The sequence below is a fragment of the Homo sapiens genome, chromosome 1 (genome assembly GCF_000001405.40).
Source record: "Homo sapiens chromosome 1, GRCh38.p14 Primary Assembly".
In the NCBI taxonomy this organism is placed as follows: Eukaryota; Metazoa; Chordata; class Mammalia; order Primates; family Hominidae; genus Homo; species Homo sapiens.
Genome location: NC_000001.11, coordinates 244867028 through 244890726, shown reverse-complemented (window position 1 = coordinate 244890726; position 23699 = coordinate 244867028). Strand labels below are relative to the sequence as shown.

General features: G+C 44.8%; 1 protein-coding gene across 1 annotated transcript in view, besides 1 other annotated feature; it reads left to right on the top strand.

Annotated features, from left to right (window-relative positions):
• The window catches only part of LOC124904588 (UPF0764 protein C16orf89-like), a gene marked incomplete at its 5' end in the record, with an annotated part of 43053 nt that overhangs the window by 16808 nt on the left and 2546 nt on the right, over nt 1–23699 (top strand). The gene's annotated exons all lie outside the window — the stretch shown is intronic.
• Nucleotides 21457–22056: an enhancer, noted in NCBI's record as "H3K27ac hESC enhancer chr1:245031973-245032572 (GRCh37/hg19 assembly coordinates)". NCBI's record gives its function as "activates a minimal SCP1, AML or CMV promoter by ChIP-STARR-seq in naive H9 embryonic stem cells {active_cell/tissue: H9 hESC(naive)}" and the evidence as "EXISTENCE:reporter gene assay evidence [ECO:0000049][PMID:30033119]".

The window sequence follows — 23699 nt, the reverse complement described above, 5'->3', positions numbered from 1 at the left end:
GCAGTGGCACGATCTTGGCTCACTGTAACCTCTGCCTCCTGGGTTCAAGTGATTCTCCTGTCTCAGCCTCCTGAGTAGCTGAGATTACAGGTGAGCGCCACCACACCCGGCTAATTTTTTTATTTTTGGTAGGGACGGGGTTTCACCATGTTGACCTGGCTGATGTCAAACTCCTGGCCTGAAGCGATCTGCCTGCCTTGGCCTTCCAAAGTGCTGGGATTACAGGCATGAGCCACTGTGCCCGGCTCCTTCATGCATTTATCATCCACGTTTTGATGTTAGGTCTAGCAAGACCGTTCAAATGCATAGGTTGATACAAATTTTTGATGAGATTTATTAAAATAAAAGATGCAGATAAAAAATGCACTCCTGATTGATTTATTTATTTTGCTCAAGTATGGAAAAGAGAGTTCTCTTGGCCACTAAAGCCCTAATTAAAAAATAAAGCACATTGTGATTGGAGAGCCATACTCTATATACATAATAAATGAGGCCTTAGACGGGCACACAGGTGGAGCTGACTGACTGGCAGGCAGGGCATATTCTTTGTGGCTTCTTTGGCCCTGAGGAAGCACATTTTTTAAAACCAAAAAAATAGATAACCAACTATAATAAAGTGACATGGAAAACTAACTTTATAAATATAATACTCTAAGAGGCCAGAATGGGGAAAATGGCAGCAGAGAAATGTGTCCTCATAGATTTGAACTGGGTCATCCGCAAAGCTTTGGCGATTGCTCTGAAGACTTCAGATTTTATTCTGGAAGCATGTTGAGGCATCAGAAGTGCCAAGAGCTGGGCGTGGAGGCTCAGACGTGTAATCCTAGCACTTTGGGAGAATGGTTTGAGGTTAAGAGTTCAAGATCAGCCTGGGCGACATAGCAAGGTGCCCCCATCCCCAATCTCTTAAAAAAAACAAAGTGCCTGGCCAGGCGTGGTGGCTCGCGCCTGTAATCCCAGCACTTCGGGAGGCTGAGGCGGGTGGATCACAAGGTCAGGAGTTCAAGGCCAGCCTGGCCAATATTGTGAAACCCCGTCTCTACTAAAAATACAAAAATTAGCCGGGCATGGTGATGTGTGCCTGTAATCCCAGCTACTTCGGAGGCTGAGGTAAGAGAATCGCTTGAGCCCGGGAGGTGGAGGTTGCAGTGAGCCGAGATCGCGCCACTGTACTCCAGTGTGGGCGACTAGAGCAAGACTCCAACTCCCCCAACCCCCCAAAAAAAGTGCCAAGAGGTAATCATATTGGTAGTTTATTAACTTAACTCTGAAAGCCAGAAGGAAGAGGATGTAGCACAGATAGGGGCCCAGAAGTAGGAATAATTCAAAATAGAGATAAATAGGAACTGAATGAGGGCAAGAGCCATGAAAATTGGGGAAACATATGGATTTTTTCAGAGATATTCAAAGATAGAAGCAAGAGGACTAGGTGGCATTAAATTTAATGACATTAAAGACCATTAAATTAAAGGTCTAGGCCAGTGCAGTGGCTCATACCTTTAATCCCAGCACTTTGGGAGGCTGAGGCAGGTGGATCACCTGAGGTCAGAAGTTTAAGACCAGCCTGACCAACAAGGTGAAACCCTGTCTCTACTAAAAATACAAAAATTAGCTGGGCACGCTGGTGCATGCCTATAATCCCAGCTCCACCGGAGGCTGATGTGGGAGAATCGCTTGAACCTGGGAGGTGGAGGTTGCAGTGAGCTGAGATTGTGCCATTGCACTCCAGACTGGGCAACAGAGCAAGATTCTGTCTCAAAATAAAATAAAATAAAATAAATAAAAGAAAAAAGAAAAGTCTAGGGAAACAGTAAAGTCAAGGCTTCTGGCTTACATAATATATTAGTTTTCTATTGCTACTGGGACAAATTATCACAAATCTAGTGTCTTAACATAAATTTATTATCTAACAATTGTGGTGGTCAGAAGTCTGAGAGGGGTCTCACTGGGCTAAAATTAAGGTGTTGCAGGGCTGTGTTTCTTTCTAGGGGCTCTCAGAAGGAATCTGTCTTCCTGCTTTTTCCATTTTCTAGCAGCTATCCACATTCCTTGGCTTGTGGCCCCCTTCCTCCATGTTCAAAGCCAGCAATGGCCGACTGAGTCCTTTTCCTTCTGCATCTCTGACCCTTCTTTCATGGTCACCTCTCTATCTGATCACAGCCAGAAAAGGTTCTCCACTTTTAAGGACTCACGTTGACAGACTAGGCCCAGCTGGATAATCCAGGAGAATCACCACATCTCAAGGTTTGTAACCATAATCACATGTGCAAAGTCCCTTTTGCAGGAATTAGGACATGGACATCTCAGGGGTCATTATTCAGCCTAGTGAATAGCCTATCAAAGAGCCCAGTTTTTCTAACTGACCCATTATCGGGTCGTGAAATCAATTTAATAATGCACCACCATTTTTAAAAGGGGAATAGAAATTAAGACAGTACAATGTATTAGTAAGAGTATTCATGTTTTGTGAAACTTCAATCTAGTTTTTTTATGTGTGTATGTAGTCGATTGTGATGTAAATATATTTCTTTCTTTTTTTTTTTTTTTTTTTTGAGACAGAGTCTTGCTCTATTGCCAGGCTGCAGTGCAGTGGCACGATCTCGGCTCACTGCAACCTCTGCCTCCCAGGTTCAAATGATTCTCCTGCCTCAGCCTCCCAAGTAGCTGGGACTACAGGCACATGCCACCACGCCCAGCTAACTTTTGTATTTTTAGTAGAGACGGGGTTTCACTATGTTGGCCAGGATGGTCTCAATCTCTTGATCTTGTGATCCGCCGGCCTCAGCCTCCCCAAGTGCTGGGATTACAGGCATGAGCCACCGTGCATGGCCAAAATATATTTCTTACTGGAAGTCACGGGCAAAAATGTTTGAAAGCTATTGACTTAGACGACAGGATGATGAGTGTGTTAAGCAAAATAGGACATAATACTAATAGATAACGTTTACGGAATGTTTGTATGAGCCAGCTGGGCCTAGTGTTCTAAGGGCTTCACTGGCATTAACCACGTAATCTTCCCAATAATCCAATAAGGTAGATACTGTCAATATCTCCACGTCGTAAATGAGGAAATGGAGAGAGAATGATTGTCTTGCTGAAAGTCACACAGCTAGAAAATTGTACGGCTGGAATTCAATCCCAGACAGTTCAGCTCCTCATTCCCAAACCTGTGTGCTTGACACCACTCTGCTGTGTCTAGGAGCACCCAAGACCTGAGGAGGAAGGCAATCCTGCCTCTCCGGTTTGTCCAGCTACCCTGAGAACCTTTGCCCATGCATAGTATCCTGTTTAAAATAGGAAATACTGGCTGGGTGCAGTGGCTCATGCCTGTAATTCCAGCACTTTGGGAGGCTGAGGTGAGAGAGGATTGCTTGAGGCCAGGAGTTGGAGACCAGCCTGGGCAACATAACAAGACTCTGTCTCTATTGAAAACAAAAAAAAAGAAAGAAAAGAAAAGAAAAGAGGCCGGGCGTGGTGGCTCACGCCTGTAATCCCAGCACTTTGGGGGCAGGGGCAGGTGAATCACTTGAGGTCAGGAGCTCGAGACGAGCCTAACCAACATGGAGAAACCCTGTCTCTACTAAAAATACAAAAATTAGCTGGGCATGGTGGCGCGTGCCTGTAGTCCCAGCTACTCAGGAGGGTGAGGCAGGAGAATCACTTGAACCTGGGAGGTGGAGGTTGCAGTGAGCCGACATCGCACCACTGCAGTCCAGCCTAGGTGACAGAGTTAGACTTTGTCTCCAGATAAAAATAAAAAAAAAAGAAAAGAAAAGAAAAAAAGGGAAAAAGGAAATACCAATACTGCAGAGCAGAAAACAAACTTCTTCCATAACTCTGGTGTGTGTTGGAGAAGAGGAAGACTCAGTCCAGAGTCTACAGTGAGCTTCCCTCTACAGGCAAAGACTGAACTTCAGCCGAGAAGTTGAGCATAAGTGTAACACTCACCATTAAAACTAATATGTATGAAATTACTATTGTTCCCCAAAGGTCCTTAGTAATAAAGGACTTAGTAATAGGAAAACTTTCTTGGAAGAGATACATGCAATATGTCACATATCACAGATACACATATACAAACTATGTTTCAATGGAAGGTATTCTACTTATTATCATAGTAACTGTATTAATCCATTTTCATACTGCTATGAAGAAATACCTGAGACTGGGTCATTTATAAAGAAAAAGAGGTTTAATGGACTCACAGTTCCACACGGCTGGGGAGGCTTCCCAATCATGGCGGAGGGCGAAGAAGCAGCAAAGTCACATTTTACATGGCGCAGGCAAGAGAGCATCTGCCCGGGAACTACCCTTTATAAAACTATCAGATCTCATGAGATTTATTCACTATCATGAGAACAGCACGGGAAAGACCCGCCCCCATGAGTCAATTACCTCCCTTTAGGTCTCTCCCATTACACGTGGGGATTATGGGCGCTACACTTGAAGATGAGATTTGAGTGGGGACACAGCCAAACCATATCGGTAACCAAAGAAAAAGTAAGTGATTAACCACCGTGCTCTCTGCTATGAAAATGGGAGAAAAGGTGCTGACCCTTTTCCCTTGAACTAAGCATAGAAATAAAATAGATGAAATTATTTTTCTTTCTGGTCAACTTTGTCCCAAATCATTAACCTCACAAAACACTTAGGAAACTTTATTTCTTGATCCACACATCAAGGTAATAATACCTTCCTCGGAATTGTGAGAATTTGATGAGGCTAGTATACCAAAATTAATTTGTAAACTATAGGGTGCTAAGATGTGAGATAACTATATTTGTAATGTAATTTACTTATCAAACATTGATACAATGCCAGGAACTTGGTATCGTTTTAAGTGCTTTGCGAATATTAATTTATTTAATGCTCACAAAAACTCTATGGTATATCTTGTTGTTTTCATTTTTTGAATGAGGAGAAAACTGAGGCATAGACAGGCTAGGAAACTTGCCTGAGTTCACAAAGCTAGTAAGTAAAAGAAAAAGGTTTCTTCCTCTGGCAGCCCAGCGCCAGAGTCTGGTACTAACTGGGATTACAGGCATCTGCCACCATACCCAGTTATTATTATTATTATTTTTGGTATTTTTAGTAGAAACTGGGTTTCACCATGTTGGCCAGGCTGATCTTGAACTCCTGACCTCAGGTGATCTGCCCACCTTCGGCCTCGAAAAGTGCTGGGATTATAAGTGTGAGCCACCCCGCCCGGCCAAGTCTGTGCTCTTAACTGCTGTGCTGTGTCAAATCTACTAGGGATATTAGAATGAGACCTTTGCCTAGATGTCAAAGGCATCAGGCATATGGAAGCCAAATGAGACTCCCAGCTTCTTATGAAACTATTGTCTCCTCTCTACTTGTTTCTATTTTGTCTACGTCCATTTTGTGTCCTGTAACAGATATCGAGACTGGGTATAGTTTCTGGAGGCTGGGAAGTCCAACGTTGAAGGGCATCTGGTGAGGTCTGCATCTGGTGAGGTACTTCTTGCCACATTATCACAGAAGGGCAAGAGAGAATGAGAGAAAGAGAAGAGAGAAGAGAGGGGGCAGAGAGTGAGTGTGTGTGTGAGAGAGAGAGAAGACAGAGGCTGAACTCATCCTTTTAACGGAACCCAGTCCTGAGATCATAGCATTAATCCATTCATGAACGCAGATGACCTAATCACCTTTTAAAGTTCCCACCACTCAGCACTGTTGCTTTGGGGATTCTGCTTGCAACACATGAACTTTGGGGGTCATATTCAAACTATAGCCTTGTCTATCATTGAAAATCTGGGTTTAAAGGGGTCCTTCCTCCTGATAGTAGCTACCATATGACATCAGACCTTGAAAATAAGGAACATTATTTCCTTTTTTTCTTTCTTTCTTTTTCTCTCTCTCTCTTTTTTTTTTTTTTTTTTTTTTTGACAATCTTGCTCTATCGCCCAGGCTGGAGTGCAGCGGTACCATCTCAGCTCATTGTGACCTCCACCTCCCAGGTTCAAGCGATTCTCCTGCCTCAGCCTCCCCAGTAGCTGGAACTACAGGCCTGTGCCACCATGCCCAGATAATTTTTGTATTTTTAATAGAGATGAGGTTTCACTATGTTGGCCAGGCAGGTCTCGAACTCCTGACCTCAAGTGATCCACCCGCCTCAGCCTCCCAAAGTGCTGGGATTACAAGCGTGAGCCACCACACCTGCCCAGAAATATTATTTATCACTCTGATTAACCTCATACTTTTGGTGTTCCCTTCTTTTTATAATGCCTCCTAATTTTTTATTATACAGTATGTTGCTTATCTAAACTATACTTCCTTTCTTTATAAAAAGCCTGAAGTTGATTATAAGGGAAGAAACATGATCACCATTTAAACTACAGATAGTAGACAAGCAGTGTGCAATTCCTTTTTGAAACTGGATGAGTGATACTTGCTGTCAAGGATGCCCAGAAGGTTTTGCGACAGGTGGGCGATGGCTCTCAGGATTCTCAGGCATGTGACCTAATTGGCTTCTGCCAAACTGACCTTTACGCTAGTAATGTGCCTTCCACCTCCGAGTCAAATGTAACTGTTTAGGTATAAAATAGAAACATTTGCTGAGATGTCAGGGAATGAGAGCCAGAAATGGGCAGTTGAAAATAGTAACACAAGGGATAAAGAAATTGAAGAAGATGTGTTGATTCAGGCAACAGAAAGTCAGGAAGACGTGGCTGATAACATGAAGGCCGGGCGCGGTGGCTCACACCTGTAATACCAGCACTTTGGGAGGCCAAGGCGGGTGGATCACCTGAGGTCGGGAGTTTGAGACTAGCCTGGCCAACGTGGTGAAACCCTGTCTCCACTTAAAAAACTACAAAAATTAGCCAGGCGTGGTGGCACATGCCTGTAATCCCAGCTACTCAGGAGCCTGAGGCACGAGAATCGCTTGAACTCGGGAGGTGGTGGTTGCAGTGAGCCAAGATTGCACCACTGCACTCCAGCATGGGTGACAGAGCGAGACTCCATCTCAAAAAAAAAAAAAACAAAAAAAAAAAACAAATTAAAAAAAACACAAAAGTAAGGGGAAAGAGAAGAAAGGGTGAAAGTCAAAGAATCTTAATGGTAACAGGAAATGTTGTATTGTTTGTGGGAGCATTTTGTAATGGGGAAAGGCCTGAACAAATACTGAATTTTTGTCTGTGCACTATTTTCGATTTAGCAAATATTAAGCACATATTAAGTGCTGGCTGCTCGGGGTATAAAGATAAATAAGACCTGGCTATCTAGTTAAAACATGTTTTACACACGAAGGGCAATCGGATTTCAATTTTTAGTCTATTTTATATACTATTAAATAAGTCCAAGAGTGGACTTTATGTCTTACCAAGAGCAGGCACCCTATGAATGTTTATTGAATTGAAATATTAGAGTCGGATAGGAGCTGGTTCAAATTTATTTATACATTTATTTAGCACTTTTTTTTTTTGGAGTGCAATGGTGCTATCTCAGCTCACTGCAACCTCCGCCTCCCGGGTTCAAGCGATTCTCCTGCCTCAGCCTCCTGAGTAGCTGGGACTACAGGCACACACCACCACACCCAGCTAAGCTTTGTATTTTTAGTAGAGACGGGGTTTCACCGTGTTAGCCAGGATGGTCTCAATCTCCTGACCTCGTGATCTGCCCACCTCGGCCTCCCAAAGTGTTGGGATTACAGGCATGAGCCACTTTTTTATTATGGTGAAATACACATAATATGAAATTTGCCATTTGAACCATTTAAAAATTTTTTTAATTCTTTTTTTTTTTACACCAATCTCTTGTCCAATAGATATTTTAACCCGTTTTAGGTGTACAGTTCCATGGCATTAAAGACATTCACACTCTTCTGCAACTATCACCACCTTCCATCTCCAAAACTTTTTTTATCTTCCCAGATGGAAACTCTGTACCATTGCATAATAACTCCCCACTCCCCATTCAACCAATTTTTTTTTTTTTTTTTTTGAGACAGAGTTTCACTCTTGAAGCCCAGGCTGGAGTACAATCGCATGATCTTGGCTCACTGCAACCTCCGCCTCCCGGGTTCAAGCGATTCTCCTGCCTCAACCTCCCAAGTAGCTACAGGTGTGCACCACCATGCCTGGCTAATTTTTGTATTTTTAGTAGAAATGGGGGGGGGGTTTCACCAAGTTGGCCAGGTTGGTCTCGAACTCCTGACCTCAGGTGATCTGCCTGCCTTGGCCTTCCAAGGTGCTGGGATTACAGGCATGAGCCACTGTGCCCGGCCAACCAATTTTTATATAGTCCTTCATTCAACAAGTACTTATTGAGCACCTGCGATTCAGCACAGTCCTCACTGTGGGAGGTCTGGGTTATAGAATAAATGAGAGGGTACAATCTAGGGAGAAAGACAAACATAACCAATGGGTGCGGTGGCTCATGCCTGTAATCCCGGCACTTTGAGAGGCCAAGGCGGATGGATCGCTTGAGCCCAGGAGTTCAAAACCAGCCTTGGAAACATAGTGAGACCCCTGCTCTACAAAAACAATAACAAATATTAGCGGGCTGGGGAATGCCTGTAGTCCTAGCTACTTGGAAGGCTGATGTGGGAGGATCACCTGAGTCTGCGAGGTTGAGGCTGTGAGCTGTGATTGCGCCATGCAATCAACTGCACTCCAGCAGAGTGAGATCCTGTCTCAAACAAACAAACAAACAAACAAATGGTGAAGAGCTAATGTTTGCAGAATGCTCCCATGAGCAGGCCCTTTGCACTGATGCACTCCTTTGAGGTAGGTGTACGTTCCCAACAGTTCCCAGTATAACAAGCACGACGGAAAGGGAGCTGTGGGCTGTGACTGGGGAGGAAAGCTCAGTCTGGAGGACATTAGTTGGTCTGGGCCGTCAGGGTTATGCTGAGAGCTAAAGGCTGAGTCAGGGTTAGGAGGCCAAGAGTATTTCCATGGCAGGCAGGACACCAACGCAGGCTCTGGGAACAAGTGGGTCCCTTCATCCCTTCCCTGATGAAGCTCAGAGAAGCCTGGGATAAGGCTGGAGAGGTAGCAGGAGACACCTCCCTCCAGGAGGGCCCAGGGGAGGGTTCCTGCTCTACCTCCAGGGCCGTGGGAAGCCGCTGCAGAGCGTGAAGCAGAGCCTTTAAAAGATCAATCACTCTGCCCCTAGTTAACAAATGATTCATTTCTCTGCCATTCTTTATTATCATGTTGATGGCATGTACACTAACTTTGAACCACCTGTGATAGAAAAATCACTAGTAGTTACATTGTAAAATCTTTGGTTTTATGTCTGAAGTTCCTGTTCTGGGAATTCACATTTCTCTTAAGTAAATGATATAACCAGGCTGGGCGCAGTGGCTCACAGCTACAGCTGTAATCCTAGCACTTTGGGAGGTAGAGGCGGGAGGATCGCTTGAGCCCAGGAGTTTGAGACCACGACCACCACAACAGTATAACCAGATTCTGAAGATCTGACAAATGGAAAAAATTGGAAATTAGTCCCATTTTGCAGCCCACCAAACCTCCCCTGTGTTGGGAAGAAATCATAGCACTTCTCTGATAGATACAATGTATAAGCCTAAAATATAACTGGCCTTCCTCCCTCAACTTGTCAATTCAAGTCTTCCCTGGGGGAAGGGAGATAAATTCCTGCCGTTCCTTCTGGACTAAGTGTAAATTAAGATTCTGTTTACCAAGCGCTTAATTAGATTGCCTAGGCAATATTATCCATCATAACTTGAGAGAGAGTGTGCTTCAAGCTCGTTTGTTATAGAAGTGTGGGGCTGCCTGAGGAGGTGTGATAAAGTCCAAGTTTGGAAGTTCCGTTTCTGGAGTTCAAAATATAGATCCCTTAAGCACTTCCAAAGTGCACCCTGAGACTGCCCTGCTTTTTAGCTGATAGTGTCTTCATGTCAAATCATGGATCACTGAGGAGTCCCAGGTGACAGTGGGATGCACAGGTGTATCCCCATTACCAGAAGAAAAGCTGTCCCACTTGATGGGCAGTCAGTGACTTTATCTTCATATTTTAAAGCACTACACTCTTCTTCTTCTTTTTTTTTTTTTTTGAGATGGATCCTCGCTCTGTCACCCAGGCTGGAGTGCAGTGGCACCATCTCGGCTCACTGCAACCTCTGCCTCCCAGATTCAAGCAATTCTCCTGCATCAGCCTCTGAAGTAGCTGGGATTATAGGTGCGCACCATCACGTCCGGCTAATTTTTGTATTTTTAGTAGAGACAGGGGTTTCTCCAAATTGGCCAGGCTGGTCTCGAACTCCTGACCTCAGTGATCCGCCTGCCTCGGCCTCCCAAAGTGCTGGGATTACAGGCGTGAGCCACCACGCTTGGCAATAAAAGAACTTTCTAGGCCGGGCACAGTGGCTTGTGGCTGTAATCCCAGCGCTTTGGGAGGCTGAGGCAGGCGGATCACCTGAGGTCGGGAGTTCGAGACCAGCCTGACCAACTTGGAGAAACCCCGTCTCTACTAAAAATACAAAATTAGCCGGGTGTGGTGGCGGGCACCTGTAATCCCAGCTACTCGGGAGACTGAGGCAGGAGAATCGCTTGAACCTGGGAGGCGGAGGTTGCAGTGAGCCAAGATCGTGCCATTGCATTCCAGCCTGGGCAACAAGAGCGAAACTCTGTCTCAAAAACAAAAAACAAAAAAACTTCCTAAACCAGACATGGTGGTTCACACCTGTAATCCCAGCACTTTGGGAGGCCAAAGCAGGTGGATCTCATGAACCCAGGAGTTTGAGACCAGCAGCAAGGCAAAACCCCATCTCTACTTAAAAAATACAAAAAATCAGACAGACATGGTAGTGCGTGCCTGTAGTCTCAGCTACTTAGGAAGCCAAGGTGGGAGAATCACCCGAGCCCAGGAAGCCAAGGCTGCAGTGAGCCAAGATTGTGCCACTGCATTCCGGCCTGGGCGATGGGGGTGAGACCCTGACACAAACAAACAAACAAACAAACAAACAAAAACCAAAAAAATCTTCTGCCTCCCTTTTCTCCAAAAGTATATGTTTATAAGTAGGTAGTAATTACATAGCATTCACAGGTTAGAATTTTTACATATGTGATTCTTACACCCCCAGGGTAGACAGGACAGTGGTAATTATCATTTTACAGGTTAAAAGACTGAGACTGAGAGAAAGGAGCAACTTTGCCTGGCTGGTAAGGGGTATAGTTATTTACTAAGCAATGTCGGATCTACACAGGCTCATTCATTCCATATGTTTCATGTCCTGAGTGCTTACCCTCCAGGAAACGATAAGGATACAAAACAAACTAGACATCTAGCTTGAGCCCCCATTAGAAGGTCAATCAGTAGGAGAAATAGAAACAGAGAGAGAAAATAATGAAACCACAGGGCAAGAATAACTTTGGAGATTTTGGCCAGGCATGGTGGCTCATGCCTGTAATCTCAGTACTTTGGGAGGCCGAGGTGGGTGGATCACCTGAGGTTAGGAGTTCGAGACCAGCCTGGCTAAACTGGTGAAACCCCATCTCTACTAAAAATACAAAATTAGCTGGGTGTGGTGGCAGACGCCTGTAATCCCAGCTACTTGGGAGGCTGAGGCAGGAGAATCACTTGAACCCAGGAGGTGGAGGTTGTAGTGAGCCGAGACCATGTCATTGCACTCCAGCCTGGGCAAAAAGAGTGAAACTGTCTAAAAAAAAAAAAATTCTGAGATTTTAGGAGCTCAGAAAGGGCACACCTAATCCACTCAGGGGCGGTGAGGATGCGTGGGGGTAATTCGGAAAATCTTCCTAGAGGAGGTGACACCTAAACAAAATCTTTTTTTAGAAGTTTTTTTTTTAGTTTTTTTAGAGACAGGGTCTTGCTGTGTCACCCAGGCTAGAGAGCAATGATGTAATCAGAGCTCACTGCAGCCTCGAACTCCTGGGCTCAAGCAATCCTCCCGCTTTAGCCTCCTGAGTAGCTAAACTGAATATTAAAACAGAATAGAATAAGTAAGGCCTATCCTCATACAATCTCAGAATCACTGTGGGATCAGATAATGAGATATTTCTATGTTTAATAAAGGATAAATGGCCCATGGTGGCTCACACCTGTAACCTTGGCACTTCGGGAGGCAGAGGTGGGAGGATCACTTGAGGCCAGGAGCTCAAGACCAGTCTGGGCAATGTAGCAAGACCTTGTCTCTACAAAAAAAAAAAAAAAAAAAGTTAATTATCTGGGTGTGGTAGCTCACACCTCTAATCCCAGCTACTTGGGAAGCTGAGGCAGAAGGATGGCTTAAGCCTAGGAGTTCAAGGCTGCTGTGAACTATGATTGTGCCACTGCACTCCAGCCTGGGTGACAGAGCAAGACCCTGTCTCAAAATAATAATAATAATAATAATAATAAATTATACATATGACAATTAATTAACACATGATACAGCTGGGCAGTGACTCGGGGAGATGGTGAGTGGAGAATATGGCATCACTACTTCTTGCTTACAACCAAAAAAGTTGTAAAATTCTCTTTCTCTCTCTCCAGATCCACCTAATGAGACTGTGCCTTCCTTCCACACATCATCTCCTCTGGGACTAACGTTTCCCTTTGTGACTACACTCTGTTTCAGAACACTCCTTGGCGTTCCGTTCAATCTTATTTCAATGGTATAAAGATGCAGGGGAGAAGAAACAATTTCCTAAGCCTCACGTGTTGCTAAGGTTTGCTTTGGTTCTGTGACTTAATTCATGTGCCTTTTCATCTGAATCAGCCACTTTTTGGTTGAGGGGGATGAAAGGAACTGCTTCATGGTTCAATACCTTCATATACATTTGTCCAAAAAGCTGAAAAATCTGCACATTGTACATCCTTTTTCTTCTTAGTAAGCACGGTGCCCACAACCACAAAACATTCCCTTTCCTTTCTTTTTTTTTGAGACGGAGATTCGCTCTTGTTGCCCAGGCTGGAGTGCAATGGTGTGATCTCGGCTCACTGGAACCTCCGCCTCCCGGATTCAAGCAGTTCTCCTGCCTCAGCCTCCCGAGTAGCTGGGATTACAGACATGTGCCATCACACCTGGCTAATTTTGTATTTTTAGTAGAGATGGGGTTTCTCCATGTTGGTCAGGCTGGTCGTGAACTGCCGACCTCAGATAATATGCCTGCCTCGGCCTCCCAAAGTGCCGGGATTACAGGCATGAGCCACCGTGCTGGGCCTCCCTTTCCTTTCTAATGGCAGCACTGTTTAGAGAATTAACCCAAATGGTTATAGTTGCCAAGATTGGATGGTCATGTGAGGGTCCAAAACACCACTGGAATTTAAGAAAACCCTAGCAATCTTAAGTAATCTTTCTTCACAGCCCTCTTTACCCTTCTCAAGATTAATTGATCCATTTGACCTGAGTCAGAGTGGCCTTTAGTACTTCTCACCTGTTTTGTATTTTTGTTTTTTTTGAGACACAGTCTCACTCTGTCACCCAGGCTGGAGTGCAGTGGCGTGATCTCAGCTCACTACAACCTCTGCCTCCTGGGTTCAAGAGATTCTCCTGTCTCAGCCTCCCAAGTAGCTGGGATTACAGGTGTGTGCCACCACGCCTGGCTAATTTTTGTATTTTTAGTAGAGATGGGGTTTCACCATGTTGGCCAGGCTGGTCTCGAGGTCCCGACCTCAGGTGATCCGCCTGCTTTGGCGTTCCAAAAATGCTGGGATTACAGGCATGAGCCACCATGCCCGGCCCTCACCTGTTTAAATAACTTCCTAACTGGTCTTCCGGCCCATGCCCCCTTCAAGATTCTTTAACCCAAGGCTTACAAACATATCACCAAAGGTGGTTTTTTGTTTTTGGCCTACATAAGTTTGGTCATCTCTAAAATTCAGTAGCTATTATATAAAAATAAAGATTTTCCCACTTCCCTTAAACAAAAAACCGACAATCCTGGGTCCCATTTGCAGATGGTCCTAGGCGACTGCTCCCTTTCCATAGAGGCCCTCACTCCAGCTCACAATCTCCATCACTCCCTCTGGCACCACTGACCTGGAGCCAATGCATGACCTTGTCATGTATTATTAGATGGCAGCTATTACACCTGTTGCTATTTATTTATGTTTCCTGCTTACGACATATGTGAACATGTGCATTTTCAACACTCTGATGCCTACATGATCTTCCTAAAATTCAGACCTGATCGAGCTACTTCTCAGCTTAACATTCTTTAATCCCCTCACTACCCACCTCTTTATTAGTGGATGAAGCTCCAACTTCTTAGCTTGGCTGGGTTCTTCTTAATCGACCTCTTTGTCCACTATAATAATTTCCTAGCCCTGCTCCTGCAAGCATGTCCATTCATACTGAATTATAGCCACAGGAATGCGCCTCGCCTCTATGCATTTGTAAAGGTGGTTCCTCCTACCTGGAATGCCCTTCCCTCTCTCTCAGCCCTGCTCACTCTTTGAAGACTCAACTTAAGTCCCTTTGCCCCCAATAAGCCCCTTGCTCCATCTCCTGTACTGAATATGTACCTCTATCACGTATGACTCTTGTAATTTAATCATTGATTTGCCTGTCTCTTTCTTCAGGACTCTATAGCATAAAATTTGGCTGGAACAGAGTATGCCATTTATAACTCTGAAATTCTAAATTCTAATGATTTCTTTCTTTCTCTTTTTTTTTTTTTTTTTTTTTTTGAGATCGAGTCTCACTTTGTCGCCCAGGCTGGAGTGCAGTGGTGTGATCTTGGTTCACTGCAAGCTCTGCCTCCCGGGTTCATGCCATTCTCCTGCCTCAGCCTCCCAAGTAGCTGGGACTACAGGTACCCACCACCACGCCCAGCTAATTTTTTGTATTTTTAGTAGAGATGGGGTTTCACTGTGTTAGCCAGGATGGTCTCGATCTCCTGACCTCGTGATCCGCCCGCCTTGGCCTTCCAAAGTGCTGGGATTACAGGTGTGAGCCACCCTGCCCGGCCGGGAAATTCTAATGATTCCAACTTTTTGGTGCAGGAGAAAGAGCTCGGGCACGAAAGTCAGGCAGCCCTGATTTGATATCTCAGTTTACCATTTATCTATCTTGACCAAGTTCCTTAACCCCTCTGATTCCGTTTCCATATCTATAAATTGAGAATAATAATTCCTACCTCACATAATTGCTATGAGGATTAGAGGTATTTTGTATAAATGCCTGGTACAGTGGCACAGGCACTTAATAACTGGCAGTTAATAGCACAAATAAACAGATCAGGAAAAAACACACCAGACTTAAAAAATAGCCTATTTAATGTGGGCTTAGATGAAGCAAAGTGAAAGCAGGAAAAAGGCGGAAAAGTTATGAGTATGCACAGTGTCTTGGCAATTAGGACGATGCAGGAGACACTTTTAGTTTGATTTTTTTCCCCTTAACCTGACAGCTTTTGATGGAAGACTTGCTTAATTATCAGCTGGCAGAAGTCTGCAAATGATAGGCAGCTCTGTGTATAGAATAATGAATATGATATAAGATAATCTTAGCTAATTACTGTTTACTTGCAAATGTCGTACAACTGGCTTCTTGAGTGTGTGTGTGAAGTTTTGTCTTGTTTTGTTTTTGCACATGTGAATGTTTGTGTGGGGGGAGGCGTGCCTACAAACCTACACCATGGGAGTCCTGCAGACAATAGCTCAGCAGGTGGTCAGGACGGCTAGCTCCCCTTGCAGCCATGCTAGTGTTCCACAGCATCTAGCTAAGGCTTGTCCTTCTCTGCAAACTGCAAACTCCTGGAGGCCCGGGACTGGTCATTCACATCTGCTTTCCTTGCACGTAGTATAATACTTGGTACATAGCAGATGTTCAATAAATATTTTTTATATAGATAAATGGATGAATTGGGAGTTGACTATGTACGTATCTATGAATATATGATATTTATAGACATTTATGTTGTTCCATATATATAAGTTCCATATATATTATATATTTATGTTGTGTTTTATATATATGTATATACACACGCACATACAATCTCACACACTTTTACTCCCATTCTCTCATTCCTGGGGCCAACTTTCCATTTAGTCTGGCTACTGAGTCACATATAGACTATATAGTTCCATCCTTGGTGTAAATTAGACCTTTGAAACAGTCTATAACAGTGCTATCCCAAAGAACTTTCTGTGATGATGAAAATATTCATTATCCAGTATGAGACCAATGGCCATGGAGGCCCTTGAAATGTTGCTAGTCTAAATGAGGAATTGAATTTTGGATTTTATTTCATTTTAATTAATTTAAATTCAAATAGCTACATGTGACTACTGTATTGGTCAGTGCCAGTCTAGAATCTCTGACATTTCTATGTGCTTGTCCAGATAACAGTCATCTGCTAGATCACAGATAACACTTTTTGATGGCGCTTGTATCTGGAGTTGGAAGACTTTTTTTTTTTTTGAGATGGAATCTTGCTCTGTCGCCCAGGCTGGAGTGTAGTGGTACAATCCTGGCTCACTGCAACCTCCACCTCCTGGGTTCAGGCGATTCTCCTGCCTCAGCCTCCCAAGTAGCTGGGATTACAGGCACCCGCCACTACCCCCTGCTAATTTTTGTATTTTTAGTAGAGATGTGGTTTTGCCATGTTGGCCAGGCTGGCGTCGAACTCCTGACCTCAAGTGATCCGCCCACCTCGGCCTCTCAAAAGTGTTGGGATTACACGCGTGAGCCACTGCACCCAGCCTACATGCACTATTCTTAACACAATAAAATTGTTTTGAGGAAAAAATCCTTTATGTGCTTGCAAAGCTTTTTAGTTCAGCAAAGCCCAGTTTATCAAGTTGCGAAGGTGCTGGTTCATTCAGGAATTTAAATTCTTCCTCATGGTAATCTGAACCGAAGTTTCTTATGAATAGGTAGCACTTTTTCCTCAGTGACTGGTGCTTTATGGAAACTTCCTGCTTGTTCACATTGGGCTAAGCATTATGTCAGATAGGATCAAAGTCAGAAAAAAGAAAAGTGGTTCATTTGGGCTTAAGAAATATAAATTGGCGGGGTGCGGTGGCTCATCCCTGTGATCCCAACATTTTGGGAGGCCAAAGTGGGAGGATCACTTCAGCCCAGGAGTTCGAGATCAGCCTGAGCAACATGGCAAAAACCCATATCTACAAAAGTAATAAAAAATATTATCAGGGTGTGGTGGCGTGCATGCCTATGGACCCAGCTACTTGGGAGGCTGAGGTGGGAGGATCACCCGAGCCTGGGAGGTTGAGGCTGCAGTGAGCCCTGATCACACCATTGCACTCCAGTCTGGATGACAGAGCAAGAGCAAGACCCTGTCTCAAAAAAAAAAAAGAAAAAGAAAAAGAAAGAAATATAAACTGAGTAGTGGCTGGGCGCAGTGGCTCATGCCTGTAATCCCAGCACTTTGAGAGGCCAATGCAGGCGGATCACCTGAGGTCAGGAGATCAAGACCAGCCTGGCCACCATGGTGAAACCCCATCTCTACTAAAAATACAAAAATTAGCCGGGTATGGTGGCGTGCATCTGTAATCCCAGCTACTTCAGAGGCTGAGGCAGGAGAATCACTTGAACCCAGGAGGCGGAAGTTGCAGTGGGCCGAGATGGCGCCACTGTACTCCAGCCTGGGTGACAGAGTGAAACTCCGTCTCAAAATAAAATAAAATAAAATAAAATAAAATAAAAATAAAATAAAATAAATAAATAAACTGAGTAGTTGTGAGTCGGTGCTGGGAGCCAGGAGTTTATCACCTAATGGGGGAGATAGTAACATCAACAGTTTGAAAACGGTACAGTAGGTGCAAAGGGAGCAGTGTCACAGTGTTTAGTTTTTCCACGGAAGCATCTGTCACAAGAAGGTCAACAGTTTGTCATGTATGAATGTATAATGGTCAATGTACTGGACGCCTGTGAATTTGATAATCCGAAGATAGAATGGTTATTTCCTTTGTGGAAGTTGAGTTTTGGTGAGCGTTAGCAGTCTTCACCTGGTAAATATTTTAATTATCAGGAAAGCCCTGACATCTTACTATCAACCACATGATTCCAGTTTTCCTACCACTTTCTTTTCTAATTGGCACATCTTATTTTATAGAAGTTACATAATTTACACGAAGACAGAGATCCATAACATCAAAGATAAGATGACTCAAATAAATGCCATTTACTTTAAAACTTTTAACCTATTAAGCCGGGTGCAGTGTGCGCCTGTAAGTCTCAGCTACTTGGGAGGCTCAAGTGGGAGGATCACTTGAGCCCAGGAATTCAAGTCCAGCCTGGACAAAATTGCAAGACACTGTCTCTAAAAAAACCTAAAACTTTTAGCCTATTGTGGTACACAAATCTCATGTAAATAGGAATATTTTGTACCATTTAAAATTCAAAGCCTATAGTACTGAACTATGGCACAGTAGTTCAAATTTCATGTCTGCTGGCCGGGCGCGGTGGCTCACGCTTGTAATCCCAGCACTTTGGGAGGCCGAGGCGGGCGGATCATGAGGTCAGGAGCTCGAGACCATCCTGGCTAACATGGTGGAACCCTGTCTCTACTAAAAAAAAACACAAAAAGTTAACCAGGCGTGGTAGCAGGCGCCTGTAGTCCCAGCTACTCGGGAGGCTGAGGCAGGAGAATGGCGTGAACCCAGGAGGCGGAGCTTCTAGTGAGCTGAGACTGTGCCACTGCACTCCAGCCTGGGCGACAGAGCAAGACTCCGTCTCAAAAAAAAAAAAAAAATTTCATGTCTGCTAATTAATTATAAAATACTGTGAGACTCTAGAGCAAAGTTTTAACAAGTAAAAGCTAAATATGAATAAACTATTATTTCAAAGTTTAACGAAGCTTGCCCATTTATAGTTTTCTTCAGGTCAGCAAAAACGAAACTCATGGAAGGTTCCCCTTGAGGGGGCCTCTACAAATCTAGTTTACTCCGCTTTTTTTTTTTTTTTTTTTTCCTGATACAGGGTCTTGCTCTGTTGCCAGGGCTGGAGTGCTGGTGTAATAACAGCTCACTGCAGCCTCAATCTCCTGGGCTCAAGCGATCTTCCCACCTCCCTGCTCCCAGGTAGCTAAGACTACAGGCATGTGCCACCACACCTGGCTAATTTTTTTTTTTTCAGTAGAGGCAAGGTCTTGCTATATTGCCCAAGCTGACCTCGAACTCCTGAGCTCAAGCCATTCTCCCACCTAAGCCTCCCGAAGTGCTGGGATTACAGGTATGAGCCACCATGCCTGGCTTGATCTGCTTCATTTATAGACAAGAAAACTAATATCCAGAGAAGTCATGCAATTCGCTCAAGGTCACACAGTTGGTTATCATAACAGCGCTGGGCCTCGAAGTCAAGTCTGGTACTTGTGTTTTATTTTTTAAATGTATTTTTGAAGACAGGCTCTTGCTCTGCTGCCCAGGCCGGAGTGCAGTGGCATGATCATTGCTCACTGTAACCTTTTTTTTTTAAGACAGAGTGTCACTCTGTGGCCCAGGCTGGAGTACGGTGGCGAGATCTTGGCTCAATGCAACCTCTGCCTCCAGGGTTCAAGCGATTCTCCTGCCTGAGTCCCCCTAGTAGCTGGAATTACAGGTGCCTGCTACCGAACCCAGCTAATTATTTTGTATTTTTAGTAGACAGGGGGTTTCACCATGTTGGCCAGGCTGGTCTCAAACTCCTGACCTCAGGTGATCCACCCACCTTGATCTCCCAAAGTGCTGGGATTACAGGCGTGAGCCACCACACCCAGCCTGCTCACTGTAACCTTCGACTCCTAGGCTCAAGTCATCCTCCCACCTTGGCCTCCCCAGTAGCTAGGACTACAGGCACTCACCATAATGCCTGGCTAATTAAAAAATACTTTTTATTTTTATTTATTTATTTATTTATTTTTAGAGACAGGGTCTTGCTATGTTGCCCAGGCCGGTCTTGACCTCCTGGACCCAAGAGATCCTCCCACCTCTAGCCTCTCAGAATAGTGAGATCACAGGTGTGGGTCACTGTACCCAACCTACATACTTATGTTTAGACTTTGCTTCACTTATTCCCAGATTGACATCTTACCACAAACAATTCATTGATAACTTACAAAATACATGTAGTTATAATTTCCTTGATAAGATTTAGTATTAATCACTCAATCGTAGGTTTTTTTTTAACTAATTAATTTATTTAGATGGAGTCTCGCTCTGCTGCCCAGGCTGGAGTGCAGTCGTGCAATCTCGACTCACTGCAACCTCCACCTCTCGGGTTCAAGCAATTCCCCTGTCTCAGCTTCCTGAGTAGCTGGGACTAAGGCGCTGGCTAATTTTTGTATCTTTAGTAGAGGCGGGGTTTCACCATGTTGCTAGGCTGTTCTAGATCTCCTGACCTCAGGTGATCCACTCACCTTGGCCTCCCCAAGTGCTGGGATTACAGGTGTGAGTCACCGCGCCCAGCCAATCATAGATTTTTAACTGCCTAAAATTGTTCAGTGTGTCTGATGAAGACTACTATTTTTTGAGCTTTTACTGTGTGCCAAGCACTGTATTCAGTTATTTGTTGAATTTCCCCAACAACTTCAGGTGGCAAGTATTATTTTTATACATGAGTAAACTCAGGCATGGAGAGAAAAATAGCTTGTGCAAAATCACGCAGCGACTATGTGGTACAGCTTCGACTTTCTGAGTTGAAAGTTTGCACTTCTAACCAGAACTTGGTACCTCCTCCCTTGCAGCTGGGCTTTCCTGTTTGTCTATGTGAAAATGTCTACTTTTAGTACAGAATACTTTGGAGGTGTTTCTGACTCTTACATCTTTTGTAAAATACATTGGAAAATGTATCTCAGTATATTTTATGCATCTTTGATTAATTTAAATTGGGCTTGATCGTGCTATACAAAAAACACAAAAACAAAAAAAGGGGTTAAGGCCGGGCATGGTGGCTCATGCTTATAATCTCAGCACTTTGGGAGGCCAAGGTGGGTGGATCAGTTGAGGTCAGGAGTTCAAGACTAGCCTGGCCAACATGGCAAACCCCTGTCTCTACTAAAAATGCAAAAATTAGCTGGAGGTGGCGCACACCTGTAATCCCAGCACTTTGAGAGGCCAAGGCGGGTGGATCCCTTGAGGTCGGGAGTTCAATACCAGTCTGACCAACATGGTGAAACCCCGTCTCCACTAAAAATACAAATAATTAGCTGGGCGTGGTGGCCAACGCCTGTAACCCCACCTACTAGAGAGGCTGAGGCAGGAGAATTGCTTGAACCCGGAAGGCAGAGGTTGCAGTGAACCGAAATTGCGCCACTGCACTCCAGATCAAAACAAACAAACAAAAACCAAGTTAAATAGAACAGCCTCTCGAGTCCTTTTAATTTAGCATTCTTGTCCCCTCATGTCACTCTGCTAACAACGTTCTATGTCTTCCCTCCTCCTGGAGGTGTTTTAGTCCATTTGGGCTCTTCTAACAAACATCATAAGCCGAGTAGCTTATAAACAACAGACACTTATTGGTCGCAGTTCTGGAAGCTAAGAAGCCCAGCGCCTCAGTGACTGGTGAGGGCCCGCCTCCCCACCCAGGGCACCTTCTTGCTGTGTCCTCACAGGGCAGAAGACACGAACGCTGGTCTCTTCAGCTCTGTATAAATTTTCTAATCCCATTGATGAGGGCTCCACGCTCATGACCTCGTTGCCTCCAAAGGCCTCAGCTCCTAATATCATGGGGGATTAGGTTTCAACACAGGACTTTTGTGGGGACACAAACGTTCAGTCCATAGCAGAAAGCAAAAGCCAAAGTCCTTTACAAAACCACCCACGAGGCTGCTGGTGATCTGTGTTTTCCTCTCTCCCCTCTCTCCTCTCCTACCCACTCCCATCATTCCCCGCAGGCCTGAATTCTTTTGTCTTCCTCCCCCAACCTCCCCAGCTTTATGGAGGTATAATTGGTATACGATAACTGCATATAGGCCGGGCACGGTGGCTCACGCCTGTAATCCTAGCACTCTGGGAGGCCGAGATGGGTGGATTGCCTGAGCTCAGTAGTTCACGACCAGCCTGGGCAACATGGTGAAACCCTGTCTCTACAAAAATACAAAAAAAAAAAAAAAAAAAAAATCAGCCGAGGGTGGTGGTGAACGCCTGTGATCCCAGCTACGAGGGAGGCTGAGGCACAAGAATTGCTTGAACCCGGGAGGCGGGGGTTGTAGTGAGCTGAGACGGTTCCACTGCACTCCAGCCTGGGCAACAAAGTGAAACTTTGTCTCAAAAAAAAAGAAAACCCTGCATATAACTAATAAATCTATACATATTTGGTGAGTTTGGACAGACATACACACGCATGCTACCATCACCACATTCAGGAAAATGAACATATCCATTACCTCCAACAGTTTCCTTGTGTACCTTTGTCCTTTTTTTTCTTTTTCATTTTCCCTTTTTTTTTTTTTTTGAGGTGGAGTTTTGCTCTTGTTGCCCAGGCTGGAGTGCAATGGCGCAATCTCGGCTCACCGCAACCTCTGCCTCCAAGGCTCAAGCGATTCTCCTGCCTGAGCCCCTCTAGTAGCTGGGATTACAGGCGCCTGCCACCGAACCCGGCTAATCTTGTATTTTTAGTAGAGACCATGTTGGTCAGGCTGGTCTCAAACTCCCGACCTCAGGTGATCCGCCCGCCTTGGCCTCCCAAGGTGCTGGGATTACAGGCTTGAGCCCACACTGCTCCCGGCTCTTTTTCTTTTTCTTTCTTTCTTTCTTTTTTTTTTTTTTTTTAGACGGAGTCTCGCTCTGTTGCCCGGGCTGGAGTGCAGTGGTGCGATCTCGGCTCACTGCAAGCTCCGCCTCCAGGGTTCACGCCATTCTCCTGCCTCAGCCTCCCGAGTAGCTGGTATTACAGGCGCACGCTGCCACGCCCAGCTAATTTTTTGTATTTTTAGTAGAGATGGGGTTTCACTGTGTTAACCAAGATGGTCTTGATCTCCTGACCTCATGATCCGCCCGCCTCGGCCTCCCACAGTGCTGGGATTATAGGCGTGAGCCACCGCGCCCGGCCTTTTTTTTTTTTTTTTTTTTTTGAGACGAAGTTTTGCTTTGTCCCCCAGGCTGGAGTTCAGTGGCTCAGTCTCAGCTCACTGCAACCTCCGCCTCCCAGGTTCAAGTGATTCTCCTGCCTCAGGCTCCTGAGTAGCTGGGATTACAGGCGGCCACCACCACGCCTGGCTATTTTTTGTGTTTTTAGTAGAGATGGGGTTTCAACATGTTGGCCAGGCTGGTCTCGAACTCCTGACCTCAGGTGATCTGCCCACCTCAGCCTCCCAAAGTGCTGGGATTACAGGTGTGAGCCACCACTCCCGATCTTGTTTTTTGTTTTGTTTTGTTTTTTTTGGGGGGCGGGGGGGAATGAGAATATTTAACGTAAGATCTTAACGGGTTTTTTTCTTTTTCTTTCTTTTTTCTTTTTTTTTTTTTTTGAGACAGGGTCTCCCTCTGTGGTCCAGGTTAGAGTGCAGTGGTACAATCACGGCTCACTGCAGCCTTGACTGCCGGGGGTCAAGTGATCCTGCTACCTCAGCCCCTTGAGTAGCTCGGACTACAGGCGTACCACCACAGCCACCTAATTTTAATTTTTTGTGGAGATGGAGTCTCACTGTGTTCCTCAGGCTGGTTTCGAACTCCTGGCCTCAAGCCATCTTCCCATCTCGGCCTCTCGAAGTGCTGGGATTACAGACATGAGCCGCTGGGCCTGGCCAGCAAATTTTTAAGTGCAGGATACTTTGTTAACTGTAGATCTCTGGAACTGCCTCATCGTTATGACTATAAAATGTTTTTGAGAA